Source organism: Homo sapiens, chromosome 4, assembly GCF_000001405.40.
Source record: "Homo sapiens chromosome 4, GRCh38.p14 Primary Assembly".
NCBI lineage: Eukaryota > Metazoa > Chordata > Mammalia > Primates > Hominidae > Homo > Homo sapiens.
This window is the reverse complement of record NC_000004.12, coordinates 173,302,009-173,316,012: the sequence shown is the minus strand read 5'-3', so window position 1 is coordinate 173,316,012 and position 14,004 is coordinate 173,302,009. Positions and strand designations below refer to the sequence as shown.

At 40.8% G+C, this 14,004-nt stretch overlaps 1 protein-coding gene across 11 annotated transcripts in view, besides 2 other annotated features; it reads right to left on the bottom strand.

Moving 5' to 3' along the window:
- Positions 1-14,004, bottom strand: part of GALNT7 (polypeptide N-acetylgalactosaminyltransferase 7) — a 155,157-nt gene that overhangs the window by 7,955 nt on the left and 133,198 nt on the right. For 10 of the 11 annotated variants that reach the window (XM_047415780.1, NM_001375599.1, NM_017423.3 and 7 more), the window contains 3 exons: positions 13,849-13,966; positions 11,895-12,017; positions 1,837-2,055 (listed from right to left, as the gene is read on the bottom strand). In XM_047415780.1, the coding sequence (XP_047271736.1) occupies positions 1,837-2,055; positions 11,895-12,017; positions 13,849-13,966 (460 nt within the window). The remainder of the gene's footprint in view (positions 1-1,836; positions 2,056-11,894; positions 12,018-13,848; positions 13,967-14,004) is intronic. The other variant, NM_001375601.1, reaches the window with a different exon arrangement.
- Positions 7,769-8,550: an enhancer, noted in NCBI's record as "H3K27ac hESC enhancer chr4:174228614-174229395 (GRCh37/hg19 assembly coordinates)". NCBI's record gives its function as "activates a minimal SCP1, AML or CMV promoter by ChIP-STARR-seq in primed H9 embryonic stem cells {active_cell/tissue: H9 hESC(primed)}" and the evidence as "EXISTENCE:reporter gene assay evidence [ECO:0000049][PMID:30033119]".
- Positions 8,551-9,333: an enhancer, noted in NCBI's record as "H3K27ac hESC enhancer chr4:174227831-174228613 (GRCh37/hg19 assembly coordinates)". NCBI's record gives its function as "activates a minimal SCP1, AML or CMV promoter by ChIP-STARR-seq in primed H9 embryonic stem cells {active_cell/tissue: H9 hESC(primed)}" and the evidence as "EXISTENCE:reporter gene assay evidence [ECO:0000049][PMID:30033119]".

Genomic DNA, 14,004 nt, shown 5'->3' with positions numbered 1-14,004 from the left:
AGGAGAGTCAACAAGTTAGTCTCAGTGAGAGATGATGGTGGCTTAGACCAGGCAACAAGGGATCAGATTCTGGAACTAGATATGAAGTGCGAGACAAAGACAGGATTCATGGAAGACTCCAAAGTTTTTGACCAAGAAATCAGCAAAGATGGGTTGGGGGGAGGAGATAGGAAGTTCAATTTAGGCTATGTCGAGTTTGAAATGCCTGTTACACATTCAAGTCCTGATGTTAAGCATACAGTTGGATATACTTGTCTGGGCCCTCAGAGAGAGATCTGTGTGTTGAAAGGCTTATGGTCTAGTTGGAGTTAAACATAATTTGCTGTAATAGGACAGGTAAAATAAGAGTATAGGGAAAAAGTATATTAAAGCAAGAAGTACAGAGAGAGCAGCATGAGTGTCCTCTGTTGGTTTTTCCTTCTATTCCTGAACTCTAAATGCTGGCGTTTCTGACGGATGGGTCTAGTCTTCTCTTCTCTATCTGTGTTTTCTCCCTCGGGGACCTCATTCAGTCCCATGAAACGACCTACCTGCTGATGGCCCCAAATGCACATCTCCAGAGTGGCCTCTCTTCTGGACTTTGGCATCATACAACCTACAATCTATGATCAGTAGGCCTTAATGGCTCTACCTGGACGCCTAGCAGGTACTTCACATGCCCAGAACACCAACAGAAGCCTTGCCCCCTCCATTCACTCCCCTACTATCTTCCCAATCTCAGCAGCCACCTAATCAGCTACTCAAAACAACCTCGATGTCATTCTGGCCCTTATCCCTTCACACACCAACCCATAAGGAATCCACTCCCAGATGAACTATGCTTCCGCAGTTGGTCAGCTTCCCTTCATCTCCACTCTCTGATTGGCTGACTCTTTATCATTCAGATCTGAGAGCGAATGTCACCTCCTCAGAGAGGCTTTCCTTACCCTGCCCTTAAGTCCTCTTGACAGTATTATGTGTCATTATCATTTATCACCATCTGTCATTATCATTTTTGTTTTCTCAGACTTTTTTGGTCTCTCTCCCCAGGTAGCATGCCAGTTCCCTGAGAAAAACGACTTTGCTTCTCTGGTTTTCTGTCTAGAAGAGTGACTGGCACATAGTAGGCCCTCAACCAATATTTGCTGAACATAATTAAGCAGAGGGATGTAGACTTGAACGTTCATGGCAGGTTTAGTGTACCTGTGAGGCATACAGCGGGGCTGCAGGGAGCAATCAGAAGTGAGTCTGAAGACAAGTTTGAATAAACAAAGAAATGACAATGTCTGATTGTCAAAGTGCTTTTGTCTGATTTTAATTATTTTTAATTCATTTGAAAAGCATTGTTGGAGTATCTACTGTATATGGGTCCCTGCATCAGTCCACCTGGACACAAGTGATCAAGGTCCTGAAGCACTCAGACTGGTTGGGAGATAGGTGATTTTGGGTGTTGTGAGAACCCCTGGAAAGAACATAGAACTGCATCTTTTTGATGAAGTGGGGAATAGTAAGAAGGGCTTTTCAGTATTGGTGATCTCTAAGTTGAGAGCAGTAAGATAAATTGAAATTAGTTAAGGAAGGGAGTTGGAGTAAGAGGCATGGAGGCGCCAGGAGCTGGAGTGAAGAGTGGATGTCTTGCAGGCTAGGGGGCCAATGAGCAAAGGCTGCCAGGAGACAGCATGGTGGCCAGCTGGTCTGGCAGCTATAGCTGTTTAGTGGAAAGGTGGTAGATCCTATCAGACAGTTTTTACCCCAACTTTTCCCCAAGAATACTTCCCTCTTACATATTTCCACCTCTCTCTGCCTTCTCCCAAACTCAGTCTACAAACACATACATTTTGAGATGTGACTACTTACTTCTCCCCAGTCAACATTTTTGGGTGGCAAAGGGTAGTGTGAGGTGATATCATAAGCTATTTCTTCCATGAACCACTTAAAACTTTTGCAGTTGTGATCTTCTCGAAATTTTTTCAGCTCCGATATATCCCCATATGGTAATGCCTGCGATTCAGGACGACTAGCATAGAAGTAGTCTTTATATTCATCCCACCAAACCTCCACAACTCTAACATAATTCTGTAAAAAAAAAATATATATATATATATCGTTATAAAAATACAAATGTCATATCATAAACAGCCTATATTAGACACATGAAAATGGCCTACACATAACAAATTCATTTCAACAGGACCTGGCATTTAATTAAACAACAAATGCAAGTTAATGACTCTAATATGTCATCTGCCAAGGATTAAAATATCATGTGTATTTAAGTAAAAAGTATTGTACAAAACCTGATATCCCTGAGCTGGAAGATCATATATGCTGAGATAATGTATTCTATTCTGCTAACAGAAGAATAAATTGAATCTCAGAGAGAGTTTATGAGAGCTTGGCTGGACACTGTACTTCTTTCCCTATAATAATCTCTTTCTTTTCTTTTCTTTTTTTTTTTTTTTTGTGATGGGGTCTTGCTCTGTCATTCAGGCTAGGGTGCAGTGGTGCAATCTTGGCTCATTGCAGCTTCAACTTCCTGGGTTTAAGTGATCCTCTCACCTCAGCTTCCCGAGTAGCTAGGACTATAGGTACATGCCACTATACCTGGCTAATTTTTGTTATTTTTTTGTGTAGATGGAGTCTCATTCTGTTGCCCAGGCTGGTCTCAAACTCCTGGCCTCAAGAGATCCTCCCACCTCAGCCTCCCAAAGTGTTGGAATTACATGTGTGAGCCACTGTGCCTGGCCTACAATCTCTTTCTATTAGAATCGTTCTGTTGATAAGTGTAGGGAAAAAAATATCATTTCAGAAACCATCATGAGAAACAAAAGCTCTGTTTAATAAAACACATTTTTGCAGGTGATTTTATTGATCCTGTTATAACTATAATAGAACTATTTTACTATAACCCCAAATGGACTGGGTATTTTCCCCAGTTGGTTCCTTTCTTTAATTTAAAAAAAATATATATTTTTGAGATGGAGTCTCACTCTGTCACCAAGGATGGAGTGCAGTGACGCAATCTCGGCTCACTGCAACCTCTGCCTCCCAGGTTCAAGCGATTCTCCTGCCTCAGCCTCCTGAGTAGCTGGTATTACAGGTGCCCGCCACCACACCTGGCTAATTTCTGTACTTTTAGTAGGGATGGGGTTTCACCATGTTGGCCAGACTGGTCTTGAACTCTTGACCTCAAGCAATCTGCCTGCCTTGGCTTCCCAAAGTGTTGATATTATAGGCGTGAGCCATTGCCCCCGACCCCAGTTGGTTCACTTTAAGAAAAAGCAGCTATAGAGCAATAAAATATGCTGACACTGTGATAGCTGACAAATATCTAGCTTTTAAAGCTTTAATTGATGAATGAATGGTTGCATGAATATATGTGACCAAATTGGTACACACTTGAGTGATAATTTGCATGTGATTTGTCTCTGCCAACATTCATGTTGAAATGTGATGCCCAATGTGGCAATGCTGGGAGGCAGGGCCTGCTGGGAGGAGTTTGGGTTGTTAATACATTAATGGCCTCCTATGGAGGTGAGGGGGTGAGTTCTTGCTCTCACAGAAGTGGATTCGTTCCCACAAGAGTAGTTTGTTAAAGAGTCTGGCTTCCTTGGTCTCTCTCTTGCTTCCTCTCTCGCCATGTGATGATCTCTTTGCACATGTGCATTCCCCTTCTGCTTCCCATCATGAGCTGAAGCAGCATAAGGCCCTCACCAGATGTAGCTGCCCAAGCCTGAATTTTCAAACCACCAGAATCGTGAATAAATAAACCTCTTTTCTTGATAAATTACCCAGCCTCAGGTGTTCTGTTGTAGCAACACTAAATGAACTAAAATAATACTCAATCCCTTAATCTTGTACATCATGCATCAGCAAATATTCTCTATAAAGGGCCAGATAGTAAGTATCTTGGGCTTTTTGGGCTATACAGTCTCTGTGGCAACTATTTGACTCTGCTATTGTAGTGAGAAAGTAACCGTAGATAATACACAAACAAATGAGTGTGGCTATCTTCTAATACAACTTGATTTACTAAAAAGGGTTGGATTTGGCCTGTCAGCCATGTGGCCGACCCATGTTTTACATTCAAAAAAGAAATACCTAGTGTTCAGATTAAATGTTTTCTAGGCAACAAGATAACTATCAAAGGGTGAACATGCCCCTAGATGCATTGTTGTCACAAAAGCCCATGGGTTTAAAAAAAGCTGTTATAAGCAGCATGATAAAAGAACATACGATATTACCACTTGATATGGTTTGGATCTGTGTCCCTACCCAAATTTCAGGACCAATTATAATCCCCAATGTTGGAGGCGGGGCCTGGTGGATGGTGACTGGTTCATGGGGTGGATCCTCCATGAATGATTTACCACCAGTCCACCCCCCACCCCCATGCCCACACTGTCCTTGTGACTCTGAGTTCTTGTGACATCTGGTTGGTGAAAAGTGTGTAGCACCTTCCTGCTTCTCTCTCTTGCTCCTGCTCCCACCAGGTGAGACGCCTTGCTCCCCCTTTGCATTCCACTATAATTGGAAGCTTCCTGAGCTTTCTTAGAAGCGGAAGCTGCCAAGCTTCCTGTACAGCCTGCAGAACTGTGAGCCAATTAAACCTCTTTTCTTTATAAATTACCGAGTCTCAAGTATATCTTTATAGCAGTGTGAAAACAGACTAATATACCACTAAACATTCTGAATCTTTGCAAATCCATACGAAATTAGACACAGTACATGTACTCTAGACATGAACAAACCTGAAGAGTTATGTATACACATGTAAGATTATGGCAACAAAAAGAAGGAGCAATTAGTTTTCTCAGATGGACAGGGCCAGAGTGGCACTGTGTTGCCCCATCTCGAAGGAGTGGTTAATTAGGTGGGAATGGTATTCAGGGCAAAGAGAAAAGCAAATGCAGTATGACAAATCATGGTGTATTGCAGTATAGCAAGTAGTTTACAAAAACTGGAATGCAGTATTCACTGGGAGAAAACTTGCTTCAGTTTCTTCATTTTAAGATGAGGATATAGGCTGGGCGTGGTGGCTCACACCTCTGATCCCAGCACTTTGGGAGGCAGAGTTCGAGACCAGCCTGGCCAACATGGTGAAACCCTGTCTCTACTAAAAATACAAAAATTAGCCAGGTGTGGTGGTGCGCACCTATAATCCCAGCTACTTGGAATGCTGAGGCAAGAGAATCTCTTGAATCTGGGAGGCAGAGGTTGCAGTGAGCTGAGACTGCACCATTGCACTCTAGCCTGGGCAACAAGAGTGAAACTCCGTCTCAAAACAACAACAACAACAACAACATAAAAAAATTAGATGAGGATATAGTCCTTACCTCATAGTGTGTTGTGAAAATTAAGAAGTTAATCTATATAAAGGATTTAGATTTATGCCTGGTACACTGTAAGTACTTACCATATGTTAGCTATTATTAATATTATTATTTTTAAAAGAACTTTGAATTTTACCCTTGAGATGACAACCATAAAAACGTTTTAAGCAGGTAAGTGACATCAGATTTAATTTTCAGATCAATGACACCGGTAGTGAGTGGAGGGTAGACTGAAGGGGGTTGAACTTGATGGCAAAGAGCCAAGTAGGAGGCTATTTACTATTCATGGGAGAGATTTGAGGGGCTGCACTAAGTATAGAAAGGGATGGATTGAAGAGCTATATGTGAGGCAGAATCACCAGCACTTGGTAAGGGGGAGGGACAGGGAACAACTCTACATGCCTCCCTAAGTTTCATTCACGGGCAAATAGAGAACACAGTGGAAGGAATCACTTTTGAGGAAAAGTTAAAGGTCAGTTTTGACTTCTGTTGAGTGGAAGATCTAAAGGACATCAAAGAGGATAACTCTAGAAGGTTTGAGGCTCAGAGGAGACAAATGAGCTGGAGAAACAGACCTGGCCACTGGCCCCCTGATGGCTCAAGTAGATGCTGTCAAAACTGGAGAAAAGAAAGTGCCTGGCACATGCTGGGTACTCACTAAGTGTATGCTAAATTCACACTTACTGGGTAGTTTGTATGGTATATATAGCTAATTTTTAGAGAGGATAAATAGCCACCTCTCAGCTCTTTTAGTTTTTCTTTCAGAATAGACTTTTTTTGAGTCAATTTGGCTTTTCATCAATTCTTCGTGATTGTTGAGTCCAACTCCAAGGGGAATTTCCTGCAATGTCAATCATGCCTGGTGTTAATTTGGTGCTATTTTTGTTTTATCACAGACATTTAAATCTCATCCCCTGTTGTAGCTGGGGCTTCATTTGGCCAATGAGAAGGATGTTCTGGCTCTGAAAGCTTAGCTGTCTGCTTATTACCTATTCCCATTTTATGAACTGTCCCAAGTTGTGTCTACAGCCAACAATAAACTTGACTTGGTTAAGCGTTCCAGAAAATGAGGGGCATCAGAGTTGCATGCCTCTTAGAACTTATGAAAGCAGCCCAACCAAATAAACCTCAAAGTTGTTTTGCCAGGGATAGAGGTCTTTGTCCTCCAAGCAGTGGGACATCTGGATGTCTGCATGAAGCTTCCTTGGTTTGTTTCATAAATAAATGCCACCCCTAAGTGTCACTAGTCTGGGATGAAATGTCAAAGAACTGGGAGACCCCAACATGGCTGGATAATCACCAGGTCATCATTCACCACTACACTACTTCTAATTCTGTCCTCCCCAGCTAGAAACTGTCATTCTCTTGGAAGACGGCGACTATGACATATCTCATTTGAGGAAGCTGAGAGAGAGCACGTACACTCCCTGGAATGGGGAGAATCAATAGAAGGAACTAGAACTGTGATTTATTTCCTAATAAACGTGTGACTGGGAAAGAAGCCCGGGAGGATGCTCATCCTACTAAAACAGTCCCGTTCAGTTTAAGTTAAATACATTTTATTTATTCAAAAAATATTTTTTAACATTTCCAAAATGTTTTAAAAACCAATGTTTTGTTTTTCTGCAGGTTCATGAGTTTTGGTAAAATATAGATTATCAATCCTAGTTCTATATTTATGGCATAGGAGATGAGATTTTTATTAAATAATCACAGCAAAATATTTATTACAATAGAACAATTTGGATGTCACAATGAAAAGAGTCAGTGGGATTTTCCTCTATTTTTTTGTTTTTTTGAGACGAAGTCTCCCTCTGTTGCCCAGGCTGGAGTGCAGCAGCGAGATCTCGGCTCACTGCAAACTCTGCCTCCAGGGTTCAAGCGATTCTCCTGCCTCAGCCTCTTGAGTAGCTGGGATTGCAGGTGCCCACCACCACACCCAGCTAATTTTTGTATTTTTAGTACAGACTGGGTTTCACTATGTTGGTCAGGCTGGTCTCGAACTCCTGACCTCGTGATCCTCCCACCTCGGCCTCCCCGAGTGCTGGGATTACAGGTGTGAGCCACTGTGCCTGGCCAATTTTCCTCTATTTTATGTGACAGAGATAGAGAATATGGAGGCAGAATACAACAGGACAAAGGATATTCACATTAACTTTTCAATCTTTGAGGGACAAGAGATATTAATCTTTTGTAAGCACTGTTCAAAAATTCGATTTTGCTTATTATGCAAACTCCTAACATGATTATCTAAATTAAAAAAAAAACCAAACCATATTTTACTCATGTGTGAATAACAGAAGCTAGTATTTTTCCCTTCAACTATTTCCCTACACAGTGTCAGACTTTTTTGAGTTTATTTGAAATGTATTCATGGAGAACATTCAATATAGGAATCTTAATCAGAATGGGATATAATGGGAGGTGAGGTCACCAAGATGGCAAAGTAGGAGACACCAGCCTTTATTCCCCCACAACTAAAAAACAAATACAGACACCTATTCACAAACCCAAATAGCCCAGAGAGAGCTCCAGGGCCCATTGAAGAATCTGCAGCAACACAATGGAGGAAAAGAAACGAAGAATATCTACATAGGACAGGATCACCTGTGAGGTCTACATACCTGAGGCACAAGGAGATAGCTAGGAACAAAGAAGAAAGGCAGATGCTATTGGTATCGGCCATGCAGCAGGAACTACCATAGTTTCCAGAGGCCTGCTCCCTAGAGGACACTGGCATCACTTGCCACTGAGGTAAACGACAGCCCTTCTGCTGGGGAACCCCAGAGAGGGAGATGCATCTGAACATTCACCACCATCCAAGCAGCAGCTACTCTTGAATTACTTTGGGCAAAGCTCTGCCAATTCTCCCATGGCCCAGTGAGCCCTGATCCTGAAGCCACAGTTGTTCTGCTAGTGTCCACATTGCAGCCCCAGGCTCTGTGGCTGCACTGGGCCTGCCCCGACACTAGAACCATTGCTATAGTTCGTTCATGCTCCAGGCCTCAGAGCCACGCCTTTATTGTGCATGCCCCATCTCCAGGCCCTGGATCAGCTGCAACAGAGAGCTAGAACCCACCCCAACTCAGGAGCTGCTCTAACTCTACGCATGCTTCTGCTCCTTTCCTTGGCTCTAAAAGCTACTTCACAAGCATCTGGGCCTCACATACTGCTACCAACATGGCAGCAGAGGTACCTATGTCCCAAGCACCAGCTCAGCTGCCATAGAGACCTAGGCACCACTCTGTCCCTAGAGCTGGATTAACTCTGAGCACATCTGTGCTCCCATTCTTGGCTACTTCAGCTGTCTCACAAACATCTGGTACCTCGCATTCTGTTATCAATACAGTAGCGAAATATCTGTGCCCTAAGTCCTGGGGTTTTTAAACTGTCCAAGATCCTGTAGCCATAGTCTCTCCACTCATGCTTGTGCTTCAGTCCTCAGCTCCCCAGCCACTCTACAAGGGCCACTGCCGCTGCAAGTGAGCCTATGAGTCAGAACCAGTGCCAAGGGGCATTCAACTTCTGCAATGAGAGAAAAATCAGGATGACCTTGGCAGCCATACCCAAAGACCCCAACATGCCTCACTGCCACTATAGATATCTACAGCATTAGCCACTGAGGAGCACTAGAATCTTTGCCAACACTGACCTTGGTGGGCTGATCTGCACAGGGAATATATACCTGGTATCCTCAGTAGTCCCAGAACTGCTATATCCCACCAAGCAAGTACCCTCACACCTTCCTTCCCCCATAGAGGAAGCTGAAACCAGCCTGTAAAGTCCGCAAGAGGTGACTGGTCCACAAAATGCACAGGCATTAATGTAAGTCAATAAGAAACTGAAAAATGAAGAGGACATAATACCACTAGAAGATCACAATAATCTCCCAGTAGTAGACCTGGATAAATAATTCTAAATAATTGTTTTACAGAAGCTCAGTTACCTTCAATCAAACACAGAGAAATAATTGAAATAACATTTACAATGACCAAGTGGGCTTTATCCCTGGGATGCAAGGATGATTCAACATACACAAATCAGTAAATGTGATACTCCACATTAACAGAATGAAGGACAAAAACCATATAATCATCTCAATAGATGTGAAAAAGGCATTTGACAAAATTCAATGTAAAAAGCTTCAACAAATTACATGAGGATTGTACCTCAACACAATAAAGGCCATACATGACAAGTCCACAGCAAACATTATACTCAATGATGAAAAGTTGAAAGCTCTTCCTCTACAATTAAGAACAAGACAAGGATGCCCACTCTCCCCACTTCTATTCAACATACTACTGGAAGTTTTAGCCAGAGCAACTAGACAAGAGAAAGAAAAGACATCCAAATCAGAAAAGAAGTAAACTGTCTCTGCAGATGACATAATCTTATATATTCAAAACCCTAAAGAGACTCTATTAAAAAGCTGTTAGAACTAATAAACAAATCTAATAAAGTTGCAGGAAAATCAACATAGAAAAATCAGTAGTGTTTCTATATGCTAACGGTGGTCTATCTGTAAAACAAACTAAGAAAACAATCCGATTTACAATAGCTAAGCAAAACAATAAAATATTTAGGAGGTGAAAAAATCTACATGCTGAAAACTATAAAACACTGATGAAATAAATTGAAGAATACACAAAATAAATGGAAAGATACCCTGTGATCATGGATTCAAAGAACTAATATTATTAAAATATCCATATTATAAAAGCAAACTACAGATTCAATATAATCTCTATCTAAATTCCAAGGACATTTTTCCCAGAAATAAAAAAATCCATCCTAAAATTCATATGGATCCACAAAAAACCCTGAATAGCTAAAGCAATCTTGAGCAAAAAGAACGAAGCTGGAGGCATCACACTACCTGATTTCAAAATCTACTACTAAGCTATAGTAATCAAAACAGTATGGTACTCACATAAAAACAGACACATAGACCAAAAGAACAGAACAGAGAGGCCAGAAATAATCCACGCATTTATGGTCAATTGATTTTCAAGGTAGATGCTGAGAACACATGAGGGAAAACACAGTCTCTTCAATAAATGGAAAACTAGATATCCATATGCAAAAGAATGAAACTAGACCTTCATCTCACACCATATATAAAAATCAACTCAAAATGGATTAAAAACTTACGTGAAGTCCTAAAACTGTAACACTTCTAAAAGAAAAAATTCCATGATATTGGTTTTGGATGTAACAACCCCAAAAGAACAGGCAACAAAAATAAAAATAGACTAATGGAATTATATCAAACTAAGAAGCTTCTGTAAGCAAAGGAAACAATTAACAAAGTAGACAATCTATGGAATGGGAGGCTACATCTGCAAACCATACATCTGGTAAGGGCTAATATCCGTAACATAGAAGGAACTCAAACAAATCAATAGTAAGGAAACAACCTGATTAAATTGGGCAAAGGACCTGAATAGATATTTCTCAAAAGAAGACATACAACTAGCCAACAGTTATATGAAGAAATGCTCAACATCATTAATTATCAGAGAAATGCAAATTAAACCACAAGATACCCTTCCCACCTGTTGGTGGGAATGCAAAATGGTGCAGCCATTATGGGAAAACAGTACAGAGGTTCCTCAGAATATTAAAAATAGAACTATCATCTGATCTAGCAATCTCATTACTAGGTATATATCCAAAGGACATAAAATCTGTATATCGAAGAGGTATCTACACTCCTGTTCATTGCAGCAGTATTCACGATAGTCAAGATATGGAATCAAGCTAAGTGTCCATCAACAGATGAATGGGTAAAGAAAATATGGTATATATACATGATGGTATTAATACTATGCACCCTTAAATAATAAAAAAATCCTGTCACTTGCAACAACATGGAGAATATTATGTTAAATGAAATAAGCCAGGCACAGAAAGACAAACACTGCATGATATTACTTACATGTGGAGTGTAAACAAGTAAACAGATAGTAAAATGGTGGTTACCAGAAGGTGAGGATTGGGGGGAGTGGGCTGATTTTGGTCAAAGGACACAAAACTTCTGTTAGGAACAATAGTTTTAAGAGATCTATTATACAACATGGTGACTACAATTTATAATATATTACATATATGAAAATTGCTGAGAACAAATTTTAAGTGTTCTCAGCACAAAAACAAGTAGGTGACGTAATACATGTCCAAATAGCCAGATTTAGCCATCCCCACAATGTATACATATATCAAAACATCATATTGTACAAGATACATACAATATTTACTTGTCAATTAAAAAAATAGGGTGCAATCTTTTTTTTTTTTAAGAGATGGGGTCTCGTTCTGTCATCCAGCGGGGAGTGCAGTGGTGCAATCATAGCTCACTGCAGCCTTGAACTCCTGGGCTCAAGGAATCCTCCTGCTTCAGCTGAATAATCTTAAAGAACAATAAGATATTTCGTGAATAAGTCTAGCTAAGTTAAAGGTGAGAATCAACATGACTGCTGAAGAGCCCACTCAATAAGCTGACAATTGTTAAGTAACTACTATAGCATGTGGTACATAAATGTTAGTTCCCTGTCCTCCCCTTTTATCCAAAAAACTCACCTTCAGAGTTGGAGAAGACCCAACATAAATGGGCGGAGGATTTCCTTGCCAGCCCTCAAGACGGTAGATATGTCCAACACGAGAACAAGGAACAAATAATAATTTGCCACCACACTGCCATATCTATGAAGGAAAAACACGTTGTGAAAGTTGTTTCAAATACAAACATAAACCATAACTGAAAATTTATCTTGTAAGTGTAAATCTAAAATCTAAATTATATACAGTGTCCACACAGAATTCTTAAACTAAACAAATCCTAAAATAATTTGCTTTTAAAAGCTCATGTAACAACCAAGAAGGCAACAGGGAATACAGTATTAATAATAAACTGCTACTAAGGGGCCTCTTACTGTGTACTCATAGCCCCTAGCAACTTTCTCCCAATATAACCTTGCAAAGTCATGTGGATTCTTTATTCCTAACTCATTAATCATTTCCATTGCTAATATATTTCCTACTTGGGTGATTATTATAATAAACTCCTAACTGGCTTCTTCACCTTCGGCTTCTCTCTACTCAACTATCCTTATTTATAGCAAGAGATTATTATAGGTGAAGGGCAGCTTTGGGTCATGTTATTCCCTTGCTTAATATCTTTGATCGTTCTCCACTGCTTATCAAATTAAATAAAAATCTCTTAACTCAGCTTTAAAGGCTCTCTTCAATATGGCCCTAATACACCTTCCCATTTTATCTTCTTAGATGTCTTCCTTATTCATGTTGCTTGATTCTGCCAAAGTTTGCTCCTTGCTGTTCTCTGAATGTTCCTTGTGTTCTCTTCTTTGTACTTTTCCCCATGCTACTTGCTTAGAAGTCCCCCTCCCATCCCTTATCTGTGCTTACTAACATCATACCCATCTTCCTACTTCTGCCGCAAATTCTGCATCTAGCATAACGCTCGCTCTTTCTTTTTTTTTTTTTGAGACGGAGTCTCGCTCTGTCCCCCAGGCTGGAGTGCAGTGGTGCGATCTCGGCTCACTACAATCTCCGCCTCCCAGATTCAAGCAATTCCCCTGCCTCAGCCTCCCGAGTATCTGGGACTACAGGTGTGTACCACCACACCCGGCTAATTTTTTGTATTTTAGTAGAGATGGGGTTTCACCATGTTGGCTAGGATGGTCTCGATCTCTTGACCTCATGATCCGCCCATGTTGGCCTCCCAAAGTGATGGGTTTATAGGCATGAGCGCCTGGCCGACGGTTTTTTAAGCACACCAACTGAATGCCATTCTGCCTTCTTGTATTATGAATTTAAGTATAATTCTAATATCTTCTTATCAAGTTCCTTGAGAGCAACAACTGGTTTACTCCTCTTCTATCCCTCACAGTGCTACGCACAGGACATTTAAGACAAGAGGTAATGAATACCTGTTTAACTCACACTCTGATATAGTTCTCTCTCTCTTTCTTTTGGAAAATGGGGGTAGGAATAGGGGTTGAGGTGGGGGCTGGAGCATGGAAGATAGTATTGCTCCCAGACTGCTTCAACAACAGGGTGGATGCTGCAGGAAGACAGCGCCAAAGTCAGCCTGAGGATACAGTCATTGTGGGGCTCTGCTTCTGTCTTGAATCATGTCCTACAGTGGTAAAGGGTGACTGTGTCAGTGGGTGGTCAATTGTGGCCCTAACGCATGCAGATTCTTCCAAGGGCTTCTATAATAAAAAGCTCCAATATATAGAAAGTTGGGGTGTGGGGGTAGATATTTTCATTTCTAAAGCTTGCTAGCCACAATTTTGAGCTGAGCCCTGTAAATATATGGTAAGTTTGGAGCTTGCATTTTGCCTTATTTTTTCCTCAAAGGCATCCATTTTCATTAAATCATTCTATACAATTTGGAGAAATGCATGATATAATTGTGGGCTTTTTTCCCCCACAAAAAACTAGCTTTATCTGAAAGCCACAGAAGTTAGTAACGACTTGGAGAATTCCATCTGTTGAAATAAAATGTTACCTTGTATGAGATCTCAAAGTTTTCACCACCCCAAATCTGGAGACCTGGATCATAGAGACCCAATTCAAAGAAGAACTCTCGTTCAATGGCAAATAATCCCCCAGCCATGGCTGGGGACCTAAGAAAAAGAAACACTGCAATAACCATTACAGACAA